Below are 25,612 nucleotides of genomic sequence, written 5' to 3'. Positions count from 1 at the left end.
ATGCAAAAGCCCCATGGAGAATTCTCTCCTAACAATGAGATAGTTCATTTAAAGCTCATAGCACAGTGCCTGGCATATACTAAGTACTCAATAAAAACTAATTTCCTTTAACATTATCACCACTATTATCATGCTATCTACCGATTCCCAACCCAACCCATAAAGTGAATCAAAGATGTTTTGTTTTCTTCTTCTTGTAATTGTTTTTTAAAAAAGTAGCTTGTGGACAAGGTTATAGTAAACATTATGTATATTTTAAAAACTACTCACTCAAAATAAAATTTTTGTCATCAAAATATTCTTCACCTTGAATTCAAAGCAAACTATAATTTATTTGGAGGCTGTACATTAAAGTTAGAAACCTACTCAAGAAAAAAGTATACAGTACATATATATGTAGCAATCCATTTACATATAACTAAGAATTGTGGATCATTCTAGTGGTGAGCTCATGTCACCATTCCTAAGGGAAAGGCAGTTGCAATATGCCACCTAAGGGTACAGGCAGCTTGTTCAAAATCTGACTACCAATGATTGAGGATGTGGATAAAGGTAAGGTAATAACGAAGGTAAATTTGAAAGGTTCCCTGACACCACCATTGTCCACATCATAGTATGAGTGATTCCTGCTTTCTTGTTTGGATGAAGACAATTTTAAGAATGGTAATCTGAGACACATCATGCTACAAACAGAAAGGTCTTCATAAATCTTTGGAGAACCCTGATGTTTCTATTAAGAACAAGAACATAACTCTCCTCCAGAAATCCTTCCCCAACCAATTTCACTGACTCTAATAACTATTTCTCACTTCCTCACTCTTTCTCTGTAAATATCAGATTACACTGATATTTTTGCATCTGTCAATATGTTATTTCATAGTTACTATCATAGAATTCACAAAGGTTTGGCCTTATTTCCTGGGTCACAATGCAAAACACAGAGTTTTCTTTACATATGATTACCTTTCTTCATACAGTAAATATCAGATTATTTTCCCCGTCTTTGTGTTGAAAATTGTATAACTTAGTTGTCTCACCAAATAAGCTGTCATATCCTATGCTTCCATGATCTATTTTCTGACTCCTGGTGGTAGAATTCTCTACTGTGTCAGAGATCTTGAAAGACTAGTCAGTATTCAAAATTTCTACTTATTCCTCTAATTTCATTCTGTGATCTCCTATCATCTGGCACCTGCCTCACCATTCTATTGATTCTCGTCACTTGAATCACTAAGGATATCTTATTAGCTAAATCTAATGACCTTTTGTTCACCCTCATCCTATGTAACCTCTGTGCATTATATGAAACTAATAACACTCTTTTTACCTTCCAAATTTCTCCTTAGGTCTAAAATATCTCCCTTTTTTGATTGTCTACTTCTCTGACTACTCCTACTGCTTGTTCTCCCTTATCCTATCCCTAAAGGTATCTGCTACCCTTTCCAAGACCTCGGGATTCCTTCCTCTGTTTTTTTGTCCTGCTTATTCTCTCCTTCCAACCTTCATCTCCAGCAATTTTATTGAAGCACAAGGTCTTAGCCACAAACTGAGCACTGAAAACACCCAAATTTATAATACATATCTCTAGTTTTGTCCTCTCACCTAACTTCCAGCCCAGTACAGCCATTCAACTATAATTCAATATAACTATCACAAAGGCATTTGTCAATCCAAAACTGCATTTATTATCTCCTCTCTATAGTCTATTTTTCCTCATATCTATTACGATTTGAGGCATCACTTGTCACAAAACCTAGTTTCTCAAGTCAAATGCCTCAAAATCATTTTCCGCTCCAACACCCATATTTATTTCTCATATATTAATACAATTGGTTAACAAGTCATGCTAACTGTATGTCAAAAATCTCTTGTTATCTGACATCTCATCGAGGTCCTGCCACAGTTCAAGCCCTAATCATGTTTTGTCTGCACTGTTGAAGGAACCTCTTAACAGGTTTCTCTGTCTTCACTTTCTCCCTCCTCCAGGCTGCTAAAAGAAACAATTTACTTTTAATTTCTTAAAAGTGTTTATAAGCGGAAGTGGGAGAATGGCAGTATAAAGAGACAACTAATCACAAACTGAAGTTCATGTTTAAAGTATTATAGAGGGAATAAAAGAGATAAGGTAAAAGATGTTCTGAACTTAGTAGACAAGAACACAAAGGAGTAAGGGGGACAACTATAAAATCACCAATGGTAGCACACAGCTGTAGAAAGGAGGAGATCCATGAAGGCAGGCCACGGTGCTGTCCTCAGCCCTCTACTCTTCTTGCTCCATATTCTGTCCCTGAGTTATTTCAACCGCTGCTGTAAATACAGCTTTCACCTCTCAATACTACATCTTCAGCTCTGATGTCTCTCCTAAGTTCTAGACTCATATATCAAACTGCCTACTAAGTATCTCCACCAGGATGCCCAACAGGTATTTTTTTTTTTTTTTTGAGACTGAATCTCACTCTGTTGCCCAGGCTGGAGTGCAGTGGCATGATCTCGGCTCACTGCAACCTCTGCCTCCCAGGTACAAGCTATTCTTGTGCCTCAGCCTCCCAAGTAGCTGGGACTACAGGCGTGCGCCATTACGCCCAGCTAATTTTTGTATTTTTAGTAGACACAGGATTTTGCCATGTTTGCTAGGCTGGTCTCCATCTACTGACCTCAGGTGATCCACCCACCACAGCCTCCCAAAGTGCTAGGATTACAGGTGTGAGCCACCACACATGGCCCCAACAGGTATTTTAATGTTAATATGTCTAAAGGTGAACTCATCCCAAAAAATTCTTCTTCATTCTCCAACTAGTCAATAACAGGGCTATCTACTTAGTCCCCTATACCAGAAACCTGGGCATTATCCTCAGCATTCCCTCATCCTTGTCCCTGACATCCCTATGCATTCTATCTACCAAATGGCTCTCTACACTCTTCTCTCCATCCCTATTTCCACTGCTTTAGTTTACTTCTTGAATTGCTTTAGCATCTCCCTAATGGGTCTTCCTGACTCCAGTCTCTCCCCCTTTCCTCACCATTCTCTTTTCTACATTATCTTCTGGATGCTCTTTCTGTAGAAGTCACTCTAGAATAAGCCAAAACATGAACCCTTTCCACTGATGGCTGATAAATAAAATATACAAGCTGAGAAGGAAAGAAATCACAAAACAGCATCTAAAAACAGCATTTAAATGGTGGGACTTTATGCCTCTGGGGTTTAACTACCTTCTTAGGTAATATTTTAATGCTTGATTTATTGTCTTTTTCCTCTCTAATTATCTGACATAGGACCCTTAGAGAAGAAATATTGTCTTTTTAAATGTAGTTCATAGAATAGAACATAATGCCCATATAATAAAAAATGAATGCTCTGATTTTTCAGAAGGGAAAATAACTTAAAACGCCAAAATCAGTGTATCCCTGTATGGCTTAGTCCCTTAGGTACATAAATGATGGTGGATAACATTGTGGAGAGAGTTAAATTAGAATGGTATCCTGGGGTGAGATTCTAATGTCAGGACAAGGAGTGTGCCACAAGGATCCATCAAATGATTTTAAGCTTAAGAGAAACATGATCATAGGAAAGATTAGGAAGTGATTAGGGATTATGAAGAAATTAAAGACAGGAAGATTATTTGAGAAGAAACATGGACATTCCCTAAGTGGGCATGGATGTCTTAGAAGTTTCTGAGGTCACAGCAACAAGATTTTGTCTCTTAGTTGACTTGTTTTTAAGGGTCGGTATGAAGGGTAGGTAACTTAAAAATTTGATTTTGAGGTTTCTGTATTGGACAACATAGGAATTTAGGAGGGGAATCATCTCCTGCATATATTAAAATAAGCAAGAGGCCATTAGTTTGAAGCTGTTTCCATACTTTGAGTTCCTATCTAACAAACCGCAAACTAACTTAGCATGTAAACAGACTGAAACTTAACATAAGCTGTATAAAAGACAGCCTAATTTCAGCCAAACACAACTAGCCAGGCTCCAGCTAATTACAGGCAGTCAAGTGACAAGACCATGTCCAAATAAGGCAAATGCCTTGCTGTAGCCAATCAGGTGATTTTTCTCTTTTGTGTCCAAACTCAGCCTATAAAAATTCACTTCTCATGTTGCTGGGAATAGCTCTCTGAAACTCTTCTGGTTCTGAGTACTGACAAATTCATGACTCGTTTTTCTTTTTTTTTTTTTTTGGTTGTTGTTTATGTGTAAACAAACTGTTAACGTTGTCTAACGTTTTTCTTTTAACAGGGAAAAGGGGGAGTCATATCATGAACATTCTGATTGTATGTGTCTGTAGGACATGTATGAAATGTGAATCTAGATTGGGAGTTTGACATCTACAGGCCAAATCATGCCAACTGCCTGGTTTTATAAATGAACTTTTATTAGAACATGGCCATGGTCATTTCTTCAGGTATTATTTATGGCTGCTTTTGTGCTACAAGTAGTTGGGATAATCTTTTGCCCACAAAGCCTCAAATGCCTGCTATCTTGCCCGTTTCAGAAAAAGGTCACTAACCTGTATACTAGGATTTAGGAGTCTGGAAAATGAACTGCAGAATTTTCATGGGTTGGGGGCTTTTTCGTGTTCTAGAACATACCCATTATTCCCCCTTCAACCTCTAGGGGGGTCCCTACTAGCCGTTGGCATGGGACAAACCATTGTCAAGAGGGAGGGATACATGGGACTTTTTTGACTTGATTATAAGGGCTTAATTTTCTTGGTTCTAAGTCTTTTCTGACCACTCCTGTTTCTTCCGACCTTTAAGGGCTCCCAACCATGTGACAGGTTCCCTTAAATCCCAATGGAGTGGCAGGGGCCTTCCTCACTCACTCCCTTCCACTCCTGGTATCTCTGGAAATTGGAACAGTCCCAGAGTAAAAGCCGACGTTGGCCCTGAGTCTTCCTTTCCCTGGAACCTTAGGAGGGAGAGAGATCTTCCTCTCTCTTCGGGCGTGTTAAGACAGCGGGGTTGGCCTGTACTTCCTCTGGCCCTGGCTGAAGAGGTGAGGCCTGGTGGGAGGTGTCCTAGGGTAGGACAAGCCGGTCAGGGGGTCATTAGGACGGTCTTGTCAGAGCGGGTAGGGCGGGGACAAGAGGGCGGGAGAAGATGGATGAGGGGAGGGGCTAAGGGGGAGGAAAGGAACCTATTGGCTGCTCCATCCACACAGGGCTAGTGAAACCGTTAAACCCCTAGGCGATCATGGCCTTGAGACCTGAGGACCCCAGTAGCGGGTTCCGGCATAGCAACGTGGTGGCCTTCATCAACGAGAAAATGGCCAGGCACACGAAAGGCCCCGAGTTCTATCTTGAGAATATATCCTTATCCTGGGAGAAGGTGGAAGACAAGCTGAGGGCCATACTGGAGGACAGCGAGGTGCCCAGTGAGGTCAAAGAGGCCTGCACCTGGGGCAGCCTGGCCTTGGGAGTGCGCTTTGCCCACAGGCAGGCACAGCTACAAAGGCACAGGGTGCGGTGGCTGCACGGCTTCGCCAAACTGCACAAATCAGCCGCACAGGCCTTGGCATCAGACCTGAAGAAGCTCAGGGAGCAGCAGGAGACGGAACGCAAGGAGGCGGCCTCCCGGCTAAGAATGGCCCAGACCAGCCTCGTGGAGGTGCAGAAAGAGAGAGACAAGGTGAGTTGGAAGCCGCTCCATGCAGTAAGATCCCTCAACTGGTCCCTGCCCAGTACCACTGCCCTGCCCCATTCCCACCCCTCTCCACCCTGCTCCATGGCTTCGCCCTGCCCCGCCCTTCCCACCTGGTAGCTCCGTCCTACCCTGCTTAGTGCTCCCGCCTTGCCCCCAGAACACACCTCAGCCCTGCCCACTTCTCTCCAGGAGCTGGTGTCTCCCCATGAGTGGGAGCAGGGGGCAGGGTGGCCAGGCCTGGCCACTGCCGGAGGGGTTTGCACAGAAGGAGCAGCTGAGGAGGAAGAAGAGGCGGCGGTGGCTGCTGCTGGTGCTGCTGGAGGAAAAGGAGCAGAAGAAGAGCAGAGGGATGTGGAGGTTGTGGCTGCCCCTGTGGAGGCCATGGCTCCCCCTGTGGAGGCTGGGGCTGCCCCCATGGAGACCCAGTTCCCCCACGTGGAGGCCAGGGCTGCCTCCATGGAGACCACAGAGAAGCTGGAGAGAATCCTCCTGCAGCTCCTTGGAGATGCTGATCAGGAAAAGTACACCTATTGGGGGCAGAAGGAGGGAGATCTCCGGTCGGTCGAAACAGCCACATCTTATTTCTCTGGAACCACGAACCCCTGGTCCAGAGCCTCATCAGAACCTCTTCCTGTCCAGCTCCCTGCCTCATACTCATACTCATACTCAAGCCCTTTTTCCTCCTTCTCAGACATACCCACTATATCCCCTCCACAAGCAACAGTCACAGCACCAGTTCCGCCTCAGCTGCCTTCCGACTGGGAGGCCTTTGATACTAGCCTGTGGTCTGATGGGGGGCCCCACAGAATAGACCATCAGGAGCACCCAAGAGACAGGAGATACTCCGAACCTCATCAGCAAAGACCTCCAGTATATCGCAGGCCAGGGGACTGGGACTGCCCTTGGTGTAACGCTGTGAATTTTTCACGGAGGGATACTTGCTTCGACTGTGGGAAGGGAATCTGGCTGCAAAAACCTCATTGAGTGCAGAAATGCAAAATAGAACCGAAGCATGTATATCTCGATGGCGAATTAATTTTCAGAGGGCAGGCTTGTGGTGGCGGGGGCCGGGGTGGTAGGGGAAGAAGGCTGGGAAGAGTGGGGGAAGGAGGTGAGACAATGGTACCTTTACGAATAACTTCAGAGATAGGGGTGGTGACTGGAGGAGGGGGAGGAAAGTAGGGGTTGTGAAAGAGGTGTAGAAGTGGGGTGGTGGCCAGGGGAGGTATAGATTGGGGTGGGGAGAGAGAGACACATGGAGACAGACATGTTTTGGTGACCCCCTTTGTATTCCAGAGCACTTGCACTCAATACCCCAGAAGTGCTGCAGCTTTTATTTGTGTATGTCTCGCTCGCTCTCTCCCTGCCCTAGTGTCTGGTAAAAGAGGCAACCATGTGTATAACACCCCACCCTCTACTCGCATCTAGGCCTTAGATGATTGGAGCAGGAGTGGATATTTGGCCCATCCAGAGCCAAATGGATTTTTCATGCTAGACACTCTGAACAGAGAGGCCGATTCCATGATGTTGAGCAATGAAGCTGTAGGCCACTTGGAGTTGGGGCCAGGACCGGAGCCATGGTTGCTGAGGCCACTGCTGAGGCTTGGCCCTGGCTGTGGAGGAATAGAACTGGGTGCTTTCCAGAGGCAAGTGTCTTTGGGAGTCACTAGTACGTGGTTCCAGGGAGCAGACAGGCACAGAGGAATCATCCTGTGACTCCAGAGAGATGGAGAGAGCAGCAGCACAACCACTTTTCACTTCCTACAGTTGTGCTACATGAAAATCCCCTTTACACAGAACCTCTTTTCTTTAGCTAACTTGAGTGGGTGGACAGATTTTTTTTTTAAGTTCTGGGATACATGTGCAGAACGTGTAGGTTTGTTACATAGGTATACACGTGCCATGGTGGTTTGCTGTACCTATCAACCCTTCATCTAGGTTTTAAGCTCCGCATGTGTTAGATATTTGTCGTAATGCTCTCCCTCTCCTCACACCCCATCCCCTGACAGGCCCCAGTGTGTGATGTCCTCCTCCCTATGTCCATGTGTTCTCATTTTTCACCTCACACTTATGAGTGAGAATATGCAGTGTTTGGTTTTCTGTTCCTGTATTTGCTGAGAATGATGGCTTCCAGCTTCATCCATGTCCCTGCAAAGAACATGAACTCATTCTTTTTATGGCTGCATAGTATTCCATGGTGTATATGTGCCACATTTTCTTAATCCAGTCTATCATTGTTGGACATTTGGGTTGGTTCCAAGTCTTTGCTATTGTGAATAGTGCCGCAATAAACATATGTGTGCATGTGTCTTTGTGGCAGCATGTTTTATAATCCTTTGGGTATATACCCAGTAATGGGATGGTTGGGTCAAATGGTATTTCTAGTTCTACATCCCTGAGGAATCGCCACACTGACTTCCACAATGGTTGAACTAGTTTACAGTCCCACCAACAGTGTAAAAGTGTTCCTGTTTCTCCACATCCTCTCCAGCACCTGTTGTTTCCTGACTTTTTAATGATCGCCATTCTAACTGGTGTGAGGTGGTATCTCATTGTGGTTTTGATTTGCATTTCCCTGATGGCCAGTGATGATGAGCATTTTTTCATGTGTTGGCTGCATAAATGTCTTCTTTTGAGAAGTGTCTGTTCATGTCCTTCACCCACTTTTTGATGGGGTTGTTTGTTTTTTTCTTGTAAATTTGTTGGAGTTCATTGTAGATTCTGGATATTAGCCCTTTGTCAGATGAGTAGATTGCAAAAATTTTCTCCCATTCTGTAGGTTGCCTGTTCACTCTGATGGTAGTTTCTTTTGCTGTGCAGAAGCTCTTTAGTTTAATTAGATCCCATTTGTCAATTTTGGCTTTTGTTGCCATTGCTTTTGGTGTTTTAGACATGAAGTCCTTGCCCATGCCTATGTCCTGAATGGTATTGCCTAGGTTTTCTTCTAGGGTTTTTATGGTTTTAGGTCTAACATTTAAGTCTTTAATCCATCTTGAATTAATTTTTGTATAAGGTGTAAGGAAGGGATCCAGTTTCAGTTTTCTGCATATGGCTATCCAGTTTTCCCAGCACCATTTATTAAATAGGGAATTCTTTCTCCATTGCTTGTTTTTGTGAGGTTTGTCGAAGATCAGATGGTTGTAGATGTGTGGTGTTATTTCTGAGGTCTCTGTTCCATTCCATTGGTCTATATATCTGTTTAGGTACCAGTACCATGCTGTTTTTGTTACTGTAGCCTTGTAGTATAGTTTGAGGTCAGGTAGTGTGATGCCTCCAGTTTTGTTCTTTTTGCTTAGGATTGTCTTGGCTATGCGGGCCCTTTTTTGGTTCCATATGAAATTTAAAGTAGTTTTTTTTTTTCTAATTCAGTGAAGAAAGTAACTGGTAGCTTGATGGGAATAGCACTGAATCTATAAATTACTTTGGGCAGTATGGCCACTTTCACAATATTAATTCTTCCTATCCATGAGCATGGAATGTTTTTCCATTTGTGTCTTCTCTTATTCTCTTGAGCAGTGGTTTGTAGATCTCCTTGAAGACGCCCCTTGTAAGTTGTATTCCTAGGTATTTTATTCTCTTTGTAGTCATTGTGAATGGGAGTTCACTCATGATTTGGCTCTCTGCTTGACTATTGTTGGTGTATAGGAACGCTTGTGATTTTTGCACATTGCTTTTGTATCCTGAGACTTTGCTGAAGTTGCTTATCAGCTTAAGGGGTTTTTGGGCTGAGACGATGGGGTTTTCTAAATGTACAATCATGTCGTCTGCAAACAGAGACAATTTGACTTCCTCTCTTCCTATTAGAATGCGCTTCATTTCTTTCTCTTGCTTGATTGCCCTGGCCAGAACTTCCAACACTGTGTTGAATAGGAGTGGTGAGAGGGCATCCTTGTCTTATGTGAGTTTTCAAAGGGAATGCTTCCAGCTTTTGCCCATTCAGTATGATATTGGTTATGGGTTTGTCATAAATAGCTCTTATTATTTTGAGATATGTTCCATCACCACCTAGTTTATTGAGAGTTTTTATCATAAAGGGGTGTTGAATTTTATTGAAGGACTTTTCTGTGTATATTAAGATAATCATGTGGTTTTTGTCATTGGTTCTGTTTATGTGATGGATTACATTTATTGATTTGCATATGTTGAACCAGGCTTGCATCCCAGGGATAAAGCTGACTTGATCCGTGGTGGATAAGCTTTTTGATGTGCTGCTGGATTTTGTTTGCCAGTATTTTCTTGAGGATTTTCACATCGATGTTCTTCGGGGATATTGGCCTGAAATTTTCTCTTTTTGTTGTGTCTCTGCCAGGTTTTGGTATCAGGATGATGCTGCCCTCATAAAATGAGTTAGAGAGGATTCCCTCTTTTTCTATTCATTGGAATAGTTGCAGAAGAAATGGTACCAGCTCCTCTTTGTACCTCTGGTAGAATTCGGCTGTGAATCCGTCTGGTCCTGGGCTTTTTTTGGTTGGTAGACTATTAATTACTGCCTCAATTTCAGAACTTGTTATTGGTCTATTCAGGGATTCGACTTCTTCCTGGTTTAGTCTTGGGAGGGTGTATGTGTCCAGGAATTTATCCATTTCTTCTAGATTTTCTAGTTTATTTGCGTAGAGGTGTTTATAGTATTCTCTGTTGGTAGTTTGCATTTCTGTGGTTTCAGTGGTAATATCCCCTGTATCATTTTTTATTGTGTCTACTTGATTCTTCTCTTTTCTTCTTCATTAGTCCAGCTAGTGGTCCATCTGTTTTGTTAATCGTTTCAAAAAATCAGCTCCTGGATTCATTGATTCTTTGAAGGGTTTTTTGTGTCTCTATCTCCTTCAGTTCTGCTCTGATCTTAGTTATTTCTTGTCTTCTGCTAGCTTTTGAATTTGTTTGCTCTTGCTTCTCTAGTTCTTTTAATTGTGATGTTAGTGTGTTGATTTCAGATCTTTCCAGCTTTCTGTTGTGAGCATTTAGTGCTATACATTTCCCTCTTAACACTGCTTCAGCTGTGTCCCAGAGATTCTGGTACATTGTCTCTTTGTTCTCATTGGTTTCAAAGAACTTCTTCATTTCTGCCATAATTTCGTTATTTACCCAGGAGAAGATTGTTCAATTTCCATGTAGTTGTGCGGTTTTGAGTGAGTTTCTTAACCTTGAGCTCTAATTTGATTGCACTGTGGTCCGAGAGACTGTTATGATTTCCATTCTTTTGCATTTGCTAGGGAGTGTTGTACTAGCAATTATGTGGTCAATTTTAGAGTACGTGCTATGTGGCACTGAGAAGAATGTATATTCTGTTGATTTGAGGTGGACAGTTCTGTAGATGTCTATTAGGTCCATTTGGTTCAGAGCTGAGTTCAGTTCCTGAATATCTTTGTTAATTTTCTGTCTCATTGATCTGTCTAATATTGATAGTGGGGTGTTAATGTCTCCCACTATTACTGTGTGGAAGTCTAAGTCTCTTTGCAGGTCTTTAAGAACTTGTTTCATGAATCTGTGTGCTCCTATATTGGGTGCATATATATTTAGGATAGTTAGCTCTTCTTGTTGCATTGATCCATTTACCATTATGTAATGCCCTTCTTTGTCTTTTTTTTTTTTATCTTTGTTGGTTTAAACTCTGTTTTATCAGAGACTAGGATTGCAACCCTTGCTTCTTTTTGCTTTCCATTTGCTTAGTAAATATTCCTCCATCCCTTTATTTTGAGCCTATGTGTGTCTTTGCACATGAGATGGGCCTCCTGAATACAGCATACTGATGGGTCTTGACTTTTTATCTAGTTTGCCAGTCTATGTCTTTTAATTGGGGCATTTAGCCCATTTACATTTAAGTTTAGTATTGTTATGTGTGAATTTGATCCTGTCATCATGATGCTGGCCGGTTATTTTGCACATTAGTTGATGCAGTTTATTCATAGAGGTCTTTATATTTTGGTGTGTTTTTGCAGTGGCTGGTACCGGTTTTTCCTTTCCATATTTAGTACTTCCTTCAGGATCTCTTGTAAGGCAGGGCCTGGTGGTGACAAAATCCCTCAGCATTTGCTTGTCTATAAAGGATTTTATTTCTCCTTTGCTTATGAATCTTAGCTTGGCTGGATATGAAATTCTGGGTTGAAAATTCTTTTCTTTAAGAATGTTGAATATTGGCCCCCACTCTCTTCTGGCTTGTAGGGTTTCTGCAGAGAGATCTGCTGTTAGTCTGATGGGCTTCCCTTTGTAGGTAACCTGACCTTTCTCTCTGGCTGCCCTTAATATTTTTTCCGTTTCAACCTTGGAGAATCTGACGATTATGTGTCTTGTGGTTACTCTTCTCGAAGAGTATCTTAGTGGTGTTCTCTATATTTCCTGAACTTGAATGTTGGCCTGTCTTGCTAGGTTGGGGAAGTTCTCCTGGATAATGTCCTGAAGTGTGTTTTCCAACTTGGTTCCATTCTCCCCGTCACTTTCAGGTACACCAATCAATCATAGGTTTGGTCTTTTCACATAGTCCCATATTTGTTGGAGGCTTTGTTCATTCCTTTTTATTCTTTTTTCTCTAATCTTGTCTTCATGCCTTATTTCAGTAAGTTGATGTTCAATCTCTCATATCCTTTCTTCTGCTTGATCAGTTTGGCTATTGATACTTGTGTATGCTTCACAAAGTTCTTGTGCTGTGTTTTTCAGCTCCATCAGGTCATTTATGTTCCTCTCTAAACTGGTTATTCTAGTTAGCAGTTTCTGTAACCTTTTATCAGGTTCTTAGCTTATTTGCATTGGGTTAGAACATGCTCCTTTTGCTCAGAGGAGTTTGTTATTACCCACCTCCTGAAGCCTGCTTCTGTCAATTTGTCAATCTCATTCTCCATCCAGTTTTGTGCCCTTGCTGGAGAGGAGTGGCAATCACTTGGAGAAGAGGAATTCTGGCTTTTGGAATTTTCAGCATTTTTGCACTGATTTTTCCTCATCTCTGTGGATTTATCCACGTTTAATCTTTGAGGTTGATAACTTTTGGATGGGGTGTTTGTGTGGGGCTCCTTGATACTGATGTTGATGTTGTTGGTTTCTGTTTGTTAGTTTTTCTTCTAACAGTCACGTCCCTCTTCTGCAGGTCTGCTGCAGTTTGCTGGAGGTCCACTCCAGACCCTTTTCACCTGGGTATCACCAGTGGAGGCTGCAGGACAGCAAAAATTGCTGCCTGCTCCTTCCTCTGGAGGCTTCATCCCAGAAGGGTACCAACCTGATGCCAGCTGGAGCTCTCCTGTATGAGGTGTCTGTCAACCCTTGTTAGGAGGTTTCTCCCAGTCAGAAGGCATGGGGGTCCGGGACCCACTTGAAGAGGCAGTCTGTTCCTTAGCAGAGCTAGTGTGCTGTGCTGGGAGAGTCCCTCTTGTCAGGATCAGCTGCTCTCTTCAGAGCAGGCAGGCAGGAACAATTAAGTCCACTGAAGCTGCACTCACAGCCGCCCTTTCCCTGAGGTGCTCTGTCCCAGGGAGATGGGGGTTTTGTCTGTAAGTCCCTGACAGGGGCTTTTACTTTTCCCTCAGAGATGCCCTGCCCAGTGAGTAGGAATCTAGAGAAGCAGCCTGGCCACAGCCGCTTTGCCACACTGTGGTGAATTCACCCAGTCCATACCTCCCAGCCTCCTTAGCACTGTCAGGGGAAAACTGCCTACTAAAGCCTCAGTAACAGCGAACACCACTCCGCCAACAAAGCTTGACCATCCCAGGTTGACTTCAGACTGCTGTGCTGGCAGTGAGAATTTCAAGCCAGTGGTTCTTAGCTTGCTGGGCTCTGTGGGAGTGGGACCTGCTGAGCGAGACCACTTGGCTCCCTGGCTTCAGCCCCCTTTCCAGGGGAGTGAGCGGTTCTGTCTTGCTTGGGTTCCAGGTGCCACTGGGGTTTGAAAAAATACTCCTGCAGCTAGCTCAGTGTCTGCCCAAACAGCTGCCCAGTTTTGTGCTTGAAACCCAGGGCTCTGGTGGTGTAGGCACACAAGGGAAATCTCCTGATCTGCAGATTACAAAAACTGTGGGAAAAGCGTAGTAACCCAGCTGGGTAGCATTGTCCCTCACAGCTTCCCTTGGCTTGGCGAGTGAGATCCTGGCCTCTTGCACTTCCTGGGTGAAGTGACGCCTCACCCTGCCTCTGCTCACCCTCCATGGGTTGGACCCACTGCCTAACCAGTCCTGTTGAGATGAATTGGGGACCTCAGTTAGAAATGCAGAAATCACCTGCCTTCTTCATTGTTCTCGCTGGGAGCTGTGGACCAGAGCTGTTCCTATTCGGTCATCTTGGTGCCTCCCCATCAGATTATTTTTATGTCAGAAATTGGTACCAGGAGAGCAGTTGCAAATAAGAGACCATCAAATAATATGTTCGAACCAGCTGGGGAGTTGCATCAGGGTATGGTGAGTAGTGGAGATTCCTGCATTCCAGGAGTCTCTAGGAATGAACTGGATAGAAAGTTCATTCATGATCTGAGTGAGTTATATCATGACAAACAATCAAAACAGGCCTGGGGTTAACCCCAGGTTTATGATTGACTCAAATCGACATGGCAGTGCTTTGCTACTCCTGAGGGAATCCTTCAGGGCTACATACAGAGGATGCCAGCACCAGCTCCAGGCGAGGACTGCTATGACTCTACAGCTCTCATGACAGCAGAATCCTCCTCAATCCCAAGTGAGCAGAACCAGGGACAGTCAGATTTGAACAGAGAACTCCTGCCACTGCCAAGGAGGTGAGTCAGCAACTGATAGTGCTCAGAGGGTTTCCTGGTTTAGACCATGGGCAAAAGCACGATGCCATCATCCTGAGGGAATTTCTCTTCCAACCCACCACCATGATAAATGTAGGAGGAAAATCTAGCTACAAAGCTCTTAGTGAATTTAGAAATGTGAAACAGAACAGAAACATATCCCAGTGGGAAATCAACTTTCAGAGGGAGGGGTGAGGTGGGGGAGGATAGGAGTGGGTGGGGTCAAAAGGTGGGTGGCAGGTTGGTCTCCTTCTATCCCTTTGATGACTGTAAGCTGTGTTGATCGGGGGTACATGTATGTTTTAGCTAACAGGTGGAAGGATGGAGAGGAGTTAGACCTGAACCAGATTGAGACACAAATGGAGGAGCCTTGGACATCACCTGGGGCATGTGGACCTAGTGACTAAGAAGCTGTCATGGCCCTGGGACATCTCTGCAGCAGCTAGATGTGACATTAGTTTGTTTCCTGTTGAATCTATGACAGTCATTCAGGACTTGGGGCCAGTTCCCTAACTAGTTATTAAAGAGTTTGTACTCGTCAAAAATGTTCTCGGGCTTGTCTATATCCTTCTAGGGCAGGGTTTCCCAATATTGGCATGCTTGACATTTGGGGCCATATGCTTTTTTATTTCTGGGGGCCATCCTGTGCATTGTAGGTTGTTTAGCAAAATCCCTAGCCTCAACTAACTGGATGCCCAGTAGTAGTGTACATTTCCCACCCCACCCAAATTGTGACAACGAAAAATCTCTCCAGATATTGCCGAATGTCCACTAGAGGGCAAAATCATTATGAGTAACCTAGGGAGGGTAGGCTCAGGGGTCAAATGATGGTAGGCAGTGGGACATTAGGGTATAGGGTGGAGTGAGGTAGAGTAGGGGGCATGAGATAGAGGGCCTTTACTTCTTTATATTCTTGTGTTTTGTGACAGTAAAGTAATTAAATGTTCACAGAAATACAAAACAATATAAAGAAGTTAATTTACTAGGTGGATGGGTTTGGAAAGGCCACTTCTTCCTCTGGAACAGAAGGGAAAAGGAGAGCAGACACTGTGTGGTAAGGGGGTGGGAACCCAAGGGGTTTCCTGCCTTTGTGTCTGTTAGACAAGGCACCTGAGGGTTAGTAAGGACCTATAAGGTCAGGGTGGTGGTGGGACAGTGGTACCTTTAGGAATAACTTAGGGGATGGGGTGGAGACTGGAGGAGGGGGAGGAAAGGATCATCAAGCTGCATAAAAAACACGATTGGGGTAGGGCCCAACTGAAAGAAAATCAAAGGGGAGAGCAGTGGGACCCTAGGAGGGGGCACTAGAAAGGAAGGTGAATAATTCCAGGAAGGGAACCAGACACTTATCTCTCTGGTCGTACAAATTGTTTTCATAACTTTTTTTTTCAGTAAAACATTAAATCAGTTTGCTTGGATTTGGGTTTTATATTTGGCAGGATTATGGAAAGATATTAACATTTTCATGATTTCCTGTGTTATGCCTATTAAAGTTTTTTTCTCTGTAAGTCCAGAGGAAAGGTTTTAATACATAAAAATTAATTCTACTTCCATCACTGAATATCCTCTACAAACCCAGCAGAAGCAATCTGACCTGACCTTTGAGCCCTTGAGTAAGCATGCTTAGTGAGATGGGCAGTTACAGAGGAAGACAGCTTTAAAAACAATGCTGCTGGGAGAAAGGCCCAGCTCTGATGGGTGAGGGAAGGGGATGGATATTTCATGGGGACCAATGCCTTGGTCAAAAACAGTGAGTTTTACCTCTAGAAAAGCTGTAATGGTCCTCTCTGGGCTTGCCATTTGAGATAACAACAAGTGAAGTGGTGAAAGGCAAAAACCAGGGAAGCCTTCATTGACCTCTTTTTTTCTGATCACCCATCCACATGCCAGGAAGTCAAACTTGGCTATACCTGTCTCTAAAATAATGGAAAGTAAAATTAAACTATATTTTATTTAGAAACAGCAGTGATTTTTTTTATCTTTGTTTCATGTCATGTGGGATCAAAGTCAAAATTTGAGCAGAGTGTGTATATAGTGACATTACCTAATATAGAAGCTTCCCTAAATGCTTAAAAATCAGAATTTTCTGTGACTTTGTACCCTGCTGTAAAATACTGGCGTTGCCAATATTATTATTTGGACTGTCACCTCGTAAAATTGCCTTCCTGTCATCTATTTCTATTGGTAAAACAATATACTAAAAAAAGATTCATGTGAGCAAAATGAAAACGTCTGGACCCTACTGATCTGAGGGTTTCAGCCAATAAGTCAACAATCAGTATGTATGGAAAGGCTGCCCTGTGTGTGGACAGTGTGCATGGTGCTTAAGTGGCAAGCTTTAGATTGAGCTTAAAAGGAGGAGAGATCTCTTGCTCAAGAGTAAAAGATAATAATGTAAATATGAAACATGGTCAAGCCACTTTCCTTGTAGGAAGTAAAGGGAAGGCACTGATGGGATCAGGGTAACAGGAATAAAAAATTAAAAATGTATATACTATATCTCTATACTCAGGTAAGTGTATATTGCCTTAGTGTTGAAGAGTGAGATCTGGTCTGGAAACGAGTGTGTAGATTTGTATTGGCTTGGGTCTTGCTTGAATGTGATCAAGGCCCCAAGGTGGAAATATACATTACCCCTCTCACTTAGCTTTTCTCTGTCTCATATTTATAGATACAGACTATACCCATCGAATATTAATGAGCCATCCTACCAAGGTGGATCACTCTTCGGTGTGGTGAGAGAGTGGGGATGGTTCCATGTGAATTTATCAACACCTGTGAGAAAACTGGTTGGAGTACATGCTAAGACTAACAACGCTTTAGTCAGCAGCACTGCCTTTCTTTAATGAAGGTCAGGTCATAGAAGGGAATTTGCCTCCTTTAAATATACATTTTCTCTGTGGAAACATCATCTGCAAAAAACGTGCCTTATTACCTGACTGCAAGTTAAGGTGCTCATTAGTTGAGTCTTTTAGCTTCTTTTCTAAGAATTGCTCAATGTCTAAAATCTCATGTTTCAAAAACATCTGAAACCTTCATAAAGCAAGTATTATTGTTAGGTTCATACTCAGAAAAAAACGCCTCGATAAATCCAGGTTCCGACCAAATTTACCTCCCTGTTTTTCCCTGTGCATGGCCCATGTTTTACTACCTCCTTGCCCTGGGACATTGTTTTATCTGCCTGGGAAGACCTCTACTATCACCACCTGTTTAGATCCTCAAGAGCCATCTGAAGCAAGCACGATTCTATAAGACAAAAGCTATTTTTCCTACTTTTTACTGTACTATTACTTTATCTTTCCTATAGCACGTATCACTTTCCCTCATGTATGATGGAATAAAAGCCATCAAGTTAAGTGTTTGCAGCTTTTCCCTTCTTCTTGCCTTCTAAACATAATTCTCTTTTTCACTGCATTGGTCTTTTTAAATGCAACAACTTTTACAAAGATCCTTGGTATGGCAGGTTAGTTCCTGAGATTTTATTGTGCAGAATAGGAGTAATGGGCAGAAAGAGCTGAAGAATTGCAAGAAGCACTGCTAGTTTAATTAAATTACATTGGAAAGGGCAAAAAAGAGCTTCTTGAAAGGAAAAAAGTGCTAGAGGATGAGAAAGGGCAAAAAGAGAAGAAACTTATAGGGGATGCATTCCAGGAAGAGTTTTTTAGCAGGTAACAAGAGGAGCAATGAGAGAGGTTTCTGGGCAGCTGAAACATACAAGAGATACTAGGAGTGATAGTAATGTCAAACAATGATTTTTGTTGCTGTGGGTTACAAATGGGCTTACCTTTGATATTTTTCAAGGGACTACGTTAAATCTATCCTCAGACTTTAAAAAATATGTTTAGTTGCTAGACTATGTTTTCTAGGATACAATTTAATGATGAACCACATGGGAGTTATGCTTGTTTGATTGTGATTTGTATACATGTCCTAATTCCCCTTTTAATTTGTTATAAGTCAGGAGCCCTATCATTCACTTTTGCTTTTTTTTTAGTACCCTCTGTACAGGAGGTACTCAATAAATATTTGTTTAATGAATAATAAATACCTGAGACCTAAAAGGATATTGGCTGAAAAACATCGCTTTTATTAAAAACAAACAAAAACAAAACAAAACTGTAGTTAGGAAGGAATGAGATCTCATTTGTGTTCCACCATGAACATTTTCAACTTTAAGGTGAATGGAGGGAAGTAGTGTCATGCAATGAGTTTTTGAAAAAGATAACCATACATTTATGACACCTGATTATATTCATTCTAGCACTTTGTCATATACTGATGTATATGTTTCTCTAATTGATTCATCACGAGTCTTATATATTAGAGGTTTTGAAGTCAGAGTAAACAGACAAAAAGAGCCATTTAAGGATATATATGCTTCAAAATTCATCTCTATTCTTTGGTGGAAAACAACTTTTAAGCACTTCTGCATATGTAAACTGAAAAGTGATCACAAAGGATTTTAAACTTGGTAAAACAAGAAGACTAGTTCTCTGAAAATTCTTGCTTTAACTTAATCATCACTTTTCATGAACTTGGAATCTCTATTTCATTGCCTTCTATTATCCATCTTTAATCAATAAAATTCTATCCTCATCACCAGACAATAATGTTCACTGATGAAACTAAAAACACACAGAAGCACAGAACTTTATATAGGCAAGAATTAATGTAAATAACCATATCTCATTTGTTGTAATATACAAATACAGATTACTATAAAGAACAGTGAAAACAGATAATAATTGAGAAGACAGTAGAGAAAACTGATAATGTGTATGAGCTCTGGAGTCAAACCTTTCCAAATCCCAGCTCCATCATTTACTACCCATGTGTCCTTGGGCAAGTTCTTCACTTCTCTAAGTATCAGTTTTATCATCTTCAATAATATGACCTACCTCCTGAATTATTCTAAGGATTAGCACAATACTTTCATATAATAAAAGCTAAAAAATTATAGCTAGTAGTAGCAGTGGTGGTGGTAGTAAAAGTAGAAATAAGAGATAATGTATGGAGTGCTTACTCTATGTCAGTATTGGTGATAAGTGCTCATCAACATTCTCTGAGGTAGGTACTATGATCTTTGTTCATCTCCAGGTCTTCTCTCTCAGTTAATAGCACCATGATTCACACAGTTGCTTCAGTCAAAAGCAACAGGAGTCATCCTTTATTCAGCTTTTTCTCACATCCAGGACATCAGTACGTCCTATCAGCTCATCCTTCAATATATATCTGGGATTCATTCATGTCTCCCTATTTTTATAGCTACCACCACAATCCAAGCTACCATCACATCTCTCCTCAACTAATACAATTGCTTCTCAACTTGGTCTTCTTGCTTCTCCCCCTGTAGTCCATTCTCGCCAGGCAACCAAAGTAATCATTTTTTAAATGGAAATTGGATCATGTTACTCTCCAGTTTAACAAAAATAAATACTCATTTTATCTCTGATTACTAATTTAAAAATCAACTTTTTATTCTGGTCCACAATATGCAACAGCATCTGTCCTCTGTTCTCTGCCTGCTTTTCCAGCCTTATCTAGTAGCATTATTCCCCAGCTCACCACACTCCAACCAAACTGCCCTTCTTTAGCACTTTTTTTTTTTTTTTTTTTTTTTTTTTTTTTTTTTTTTAACAGAGTCTTGCTCTGTCGCCGAGGCTGGAGTGCCGTGGCGCAGTCTCAGCTCACTGCAACCTCCACCTCCCAGGTTCCAGCGATTCTCTTGCTTCAGCTTCCCAAGTAGCTGGGATTGTAGGCGTGCACTACCACACCTGGCTAATTTTTGTAGTTTTAGTAGAGACAGGGGTTACACCACGTTGGCCAGGCTGGTCTCGAACTTCTGACCTCAGGTGATCTGCCCGTCTCAGCCTCCCAAAGTGCCGGGATTACAGGTGTGAGCCACTGCACCCAGCCCTTTCTTTAGCTTTCTCGAATCAAGCCTGTTCCCATTTCATGACCTTTACACATGGCATTCACTTTGACTGGAATACTCTGCCCCAAGATTTTCACAAGACTGGCTCCTTCTTGTCATTCAGGTCTCAGTTTGTATGTCACTTTCTCTGTGAAGCCCTTCTTGATCACCTAACTGAAAGTGGCCTCTCAGTCAGTCACTCCCCTAACATGACCCTTCTTCACTCTCACCACTGTAGAATTACGATTACCCAGTGTAGTCTTGTGATTGCATTATTTATATGTTTTCCCAACTCTAGAATGGAAGCTCCATTACTTTAATCTCTCATTCAATGCATTTACTCAACACCTAATTCAAGTGTTCAAAATATTTTAAGTTGAATAACCAAATGGGTCTTTATTTTCCATGTGAGGAAAAGCAAGGCAAAGGTCACACAGCCATAATATACCATCACTCCCTAGGCTAATGTTGGAGTCAGAACCAATAGTTCAGAGTTTGCAAACTGTGAGTCCCCTGGTTGAACCTGAGTAGTCATATAAATTGCTCAAGGTCACACAATTCGTAAGTAATAAAACTGAGATTTGACTCCAAGCAGTCCAGCTCCAGAGACCATACTCCTAATAGGACACAGTAGTATTAATAGTAATATAGAAGATTGCACCACAGTGTTAGGTATAGAAGAGTCCTAGCTAGTTCAGTAACTCTTAGTAATTCCTCCTTTAGTAACTGCTAAAAGGCAGATGCTGTGTCATAATTTTCTCTTGGGTTCGCCATAGTGATAGGCACAATATTAGTCCATATAAGCATTGAATGGATATTTTCACTGAAGTTACTTTTCATGCCTGGGACTAGAGTTATTGCACATCTTCAGTCCTCTGCCCTTTTAAAGAGTTGCTGTTTGATCATTGACAGGAAGGAAGGTGGAGGAGAAGCAGCACTTTATAGCAATAGAATCCTCTTGATAGAATACCTATTTCAGTACACCGTAGCTAGCAATAAGGACCCCTATACTGATCAGTGCATTTTTTGAAGACTCCAATAGCCACACAAGGGATTAAGCTGGAATTGGGCCAGTTGCCACATAAAGGGACACCATATGACTCTACTACTGAATGCTCAAATGTACTCTAGGGAGAGTGGCGGGTTTCCTTTAATCTATCTTGCCATTGGAGTGTTGATTTTCCTGCTTCACTTTGATACAGATAAAACCTGCTGCAGTCCTACTTTAAGATGACTATACCATCGCTCTCTAGGTTAATGTTGGAGTCAGAACCTATTAGTTTAGAGTATGAGAACTGAGTTCAATGGTTGAATCTGAGTATGGGCTTTTTTGGGCAGGAGGATCCCATAAATTTAAAAATTGAGAAATTTCACACAATTATTCAGCTTTCAAAACATCAGAAAAACTGGCAATGTTGGGCCTATATCCCTAGTGCCTTCTAACATTAAGGGGTCAGAAAGAATACCAGGAGCCAGGAAAAGAACTTATGAAAGAGTAACTGATAGAGTATGAGGAAAGCCAAGAGAGTACTATTCTCTGGAAGTCAGGTAAAGAATGCATTATCAAAAAGAAGGGAGTGATCAACTATGCCACATGACATTACAGGTCAAGTAATAGGAGAACTGAAAACTGGCATGCCCATTGGATTTAGTATTGTTGTGGTCATTGGACACTTTTATAAGAGCAGGTTTGGAAGAGTTTGAAGGTAAAATTTTGATTGGAATGGGTTTACTAGAGAATAAGTGGAGAGGAACTCAAAACTGAATGCAGACAACACTTTTTTTTATAAATAGTTTTATTGAGATATAATTGATACACAAATAACTGCATATATTTAATGGGTACAGTTTGAAGGGTTTGGACTTATATAAACAACCATGATACCATAACCAGATAATTCTTTAAAGTAGCTTTTTCCAAATGGGAGCAAGAAACCGGGAATAGTGGCTGTCAGGAAAGTGGAGTAGAGAGGATTTTTTTTAGATGGCATAAATACTGATCTGTATACATGCTGATGGAAATGATCCAGTAGAAATAGAAAATTTCATGATATGGGAGAGAGAGAGGAGAATTGCTCAGGTGATGTTCTTGGGTAAGCAAATAGGGATAGAATCTGGTGTACACATGAAGTGACTTGCCTTACATAGAAGCAAGGCCAGTTCATCTGTGGTAACAGGCTGGAAGGCAGAATATGTAGGTATAGATGCCAGTAGGTGGGCAGATGTAGTGGAAGTTTTTTTCCTGACTACATTTTTTTTCTCTGTGAAACTGGAAGCAAGGGGGAGGAGATATTGGAGATCTGAGGAGTGGAGATGATATAAAATAGTCATCTAGGCAGATGGGAGACTGAATGGTCTAAGAATATAAAATAAAACTACCTGGTAGCATTAAAGGTCAATTTGAGGTCCATGACAATGAATTTAATGTGAAACCAGTCAACATTATTATATATTTTCCTTCAGCCAAGTTTAGCTGCAAGGATGCAGGCATAGTATAGATGGACAGTTAGGTTTAAACAGTGTTGTGGTTTTCACAAGCGAGTAAGATGAAGGGAGAAAGGGTTAAGAGAATCAAGAGGGTGTATATGGGAGTGATTATAATGATTGATCCACTGAATTGGAACTATGCTAGATGGGAAGAGAACAAGGTACAGTGGAAAACATGTGAGATCAATGAGAAAGATGGTTGGGTGGAATCAATAGATTATTGGAGGTAAGGTATAGAAAAAAATGAGCTAGAAAAATAGGAGGTAGTGGCAATAGAGTAGAATGCATGAAATGAGATTATGGAGGGGATTGCTACAACTTCCAACACTCCAAAATGTTTCAGGTGGCCTGCCACACTCATTACATTACCTTCTTGACCTCTGAAAAGATTTTGAGTTTACAACCCTGCATTAGGTTAAAACCTTGATTCTGAGCAAGATAGCCATAAAACCAAGTCACTTAAGATTGTGTAATTATACAAGGGATTAAACTAAAAAGTATATATAAATAACAGTGTTAACCAACTCATCAGTGACTATTTGAGATCAATTCTTCTTTTGTGGTTATCAAATATAACCTATTAATTCTTACAAAGCAGGTACTCCTGCTGACTAAACTGTAAGCATCTGCTTCCTTCCAGTAAACAAACTGAATGAAGTTGAAATTACATAGTTAATGTACAATAGTATGGTTATATTTCTAAACATTACAACATATCTAATTTAATGCTAATGAAATGAAAATAAAGTAAAATGGTTACTTCTTTGCTATGTAAAAATTTTCCTATATAATTTTATTAACAAGTAGATTATCAAATTGCCATAAAAATAATGGAATCAGAGACCCCTGCTTATAACCAAAAACAGATAGAAAAATAACTAATTACATTTCATTTCGGGAATGAAATTCCTGCTGTCTCAAGATCCTGCTACACTTTCTTGATCTTTTCTGAGGTCAATTAATTCTATAAGATCCAGGCTTTCATTTTTCTGACAAGAAACTACCTGCTCTCCTGGAAATTGCTACCTGGGTAACCGACTTGTTGACACTTAACTTTTCACGGATCAATAGTTAAGTTGGAATTGAATTATGAGATATGTTCACTGTCCTTGAAAATCTCTAGGTAACCGCGATGGGAAGTAGGGTAGGAGAGTGGAAGGTGCTAAGAGCCATTTCTTTGTGTCTGATGTAGACTAGAGCATCACTTTCTTTTCTAAAGACACAGGTCTTCTTGCAATATGCCATAAAGTGAGTCCCATGATATGTATTCAATGAATGTTTGTTGACTGAAATAAAAATACTCGCTTATATATGATACCTAGGTATTTATAGGCCAGGATCATTTAAGTGACAATAAAATCAAGTAAAATTACTGTATACTTACATTTATTTCTTCTTTTTTTTGTTATGGACTATTTCAAACATGATAAAAAATACACAGGGCAATATGATGAATCCTCATGTACCCACCATACAGATTCAAAAATTAGCAACATGCTATGCTTTTCGTTTCAAGTGTATCCACTCCCTCAACTTTTCTTCTGATGCTGTTTTGCTGGAGTAATAATCATTCAACTGTGAATTGATTATTCACATTTGAAATCAAAGCAATTGTGCCTCCTGGCTAGACATATACTAAGGAACTGTTCAGAAAGATGTTGTGAGGCATTCAGATTTTGAGAACCTCACTTCTTTCAATGACTATTAGAGACCAAAAATATTGGGATTATGCTCCCATTTTATAAGGGAACTCCTTGTTATGTTTACCTCGTTGCAGAGGTAAATGGTCATAATAATTTTGAACCTCTAACTGATTCTCTGCACTCAGCCATAATTATCCCTAAATGTTAGGTTTTTACAGATGTTCAATTATATTTAATTTTGTGTGTGTGTGTGTGTGTGTGTGGGTGTGAAACGGAGTCTCACTCTGTCACCCAGACTGGAGTGCAGTAGCACAATCTCGGCTTACTGCAACCTCTGCCTCCCGATTCAAGCAATTCTCGTACCTCAGCCTCTCGAGTAGCTGGGATTACAGATGTGCACCACCACGCCCAGCGAAATTTTGTATTTTTAGTAGAGACCGGGTTTCGCCATACTGGCCAGGCTGGGCTTGAACTCCTGGCCTCATGTGATCCACCTGCCTCAGCCTCCCAAAGTGCTGGGATTATAGGCACGAGCCACCGCACCTGGCCAATCATTCTTTTCAATATCTGTGAATTCAATGCAGGATTATATGACTATATCTATCTTCATTCACAGCTTAAGTCACCCCTTGTTCCAAGTTGTTGAGAAAATGATATGTGAGATTTTGTCAAATAAGATTACCTTTATCATTTTTATCCTATTAATTCATGCCTCCATTGAAAATATTGGTGTGATTCTTCGATTGGCACCGTCTCTCACAATATGATTTAATCCTCTACCATTCTCATATTACCAGCCCATTATTATGCTGGGAAATTCAACTAATCACTCTTGAGTCTGGCCAAGGAAAAATTTAAAAATTATTCATTAGCCAAGTGGCCACTGAAAGGTCACAAACAGTAAATTTTTCTTGCTGTCATTCACATGGGTGGAGAATATTACTAAATATTTCATATCTTCATTTTTAATCACAGTGACATCAGTAGAGTAACTTTTAATGAGATCAATAAAACATAGAAAAGTCATTCGTAATTACCTTAAAGTGGTATCTAACTGGAGATTTTAGGTGAATACTGACATTGTCAAATTAAGAGCCCTTTTCACAATAAATGTCACTCTTGGCAATTGCATAAAATCACCTATATGGACGGAATTTCTCACTTGGCACATAGTAGAAGTCAGTGGCCACTACTAGATAT

General features: G+C 41.3%; 2 protein-coding genes across 4 annotated transcripts in view; one reads left to right on the top strand and one right to left on the bottom strand.

Moving 5' to 3' along the window:
* The window catches only part of IL1RAPL2 (interleukin 1 receptor accessory protein like 2), a 1,201,631-nt gene that overhangs the window by 542,239 nt on the left and 633,780 nt on the right, over positions 1–25,612 (bottom strand). Inside the window, exon 1 of one of the 2 annotated variants that reach the window (XM_011530905.3) lies at positions 4,509–4,628. The exons of the other annotated variant lie outside the window; for it this stretch is intronic. The gene's annotated coding sequence lies outside the window, so the exon portion shown is untranslated. Of the gene's footprint in view, positions 1–4,508; positions 4,629–25,612 lie in introns of those variants that run through there. 2 annotated transcript variants of the gene reach the window in all.
* Positions 4,897–6,662, top strand: TEX13A (testis expressed 13A). 2 transcript variants are annotated; one of them, NM_001291277.2, is made up of 3 exons: positions 4,897–4,996; positions 5,188–5,628; positions 5,833–6,662. In NM_001291277.2, the coding sequence occupies exons 2-3, from the start codon at positions 5,194–5,196 to the stop codon at positions 6,625–6,627; spliced, it is 1,230 nt and encodes a 409-aa protein (NP_001278206.1). In that variant the 5' UTR covers positions 4,897–4,996; positions 5,188–5,193; the 3' UTR covers positions 6,628–6,662. The 2 variants fall into 2 exon arrangements, with proteins under 2 accessions (NP_001278206.1, NP_112564.1); NM_031274.5 differs by having other exon boundaries at positions 5,162–5,628.

The sequence above is a fragment of the Homo sapiens genome, chromosome X, assembly GCF_000001405.40.
Source record: "Homo sapiens chromosome X, GRCh38.p14 Primary Assembly".
NCBI lineage: Eukaryota > Metazoa > Chordata > Mammalia > Primates > Hominidae > Homo > Homo sapiens.
Note: the sequence above shows the minus strand (reverse complement) of the source record. Positions and strands in the feature narration are given on the sequence as shown.

Excerpts from the sequence above, each read along its gene's own strand:
- TEX13A (NM_001291277.2), top strand. The coding sequence starts at position 5,194 with ATGGCCTTGAGACCTGAGGACCCCAGTAGCGGGTTCCGGCATAGCAAC. Across the intron at positions 5,629-5,832 it reads TGCAGAAAGAGAGAGACAAG|GAGCTGGTGTCTCCCCATGA; the intron begins GTGAGTTGGAAG and ends ACTTCTCTCCAG.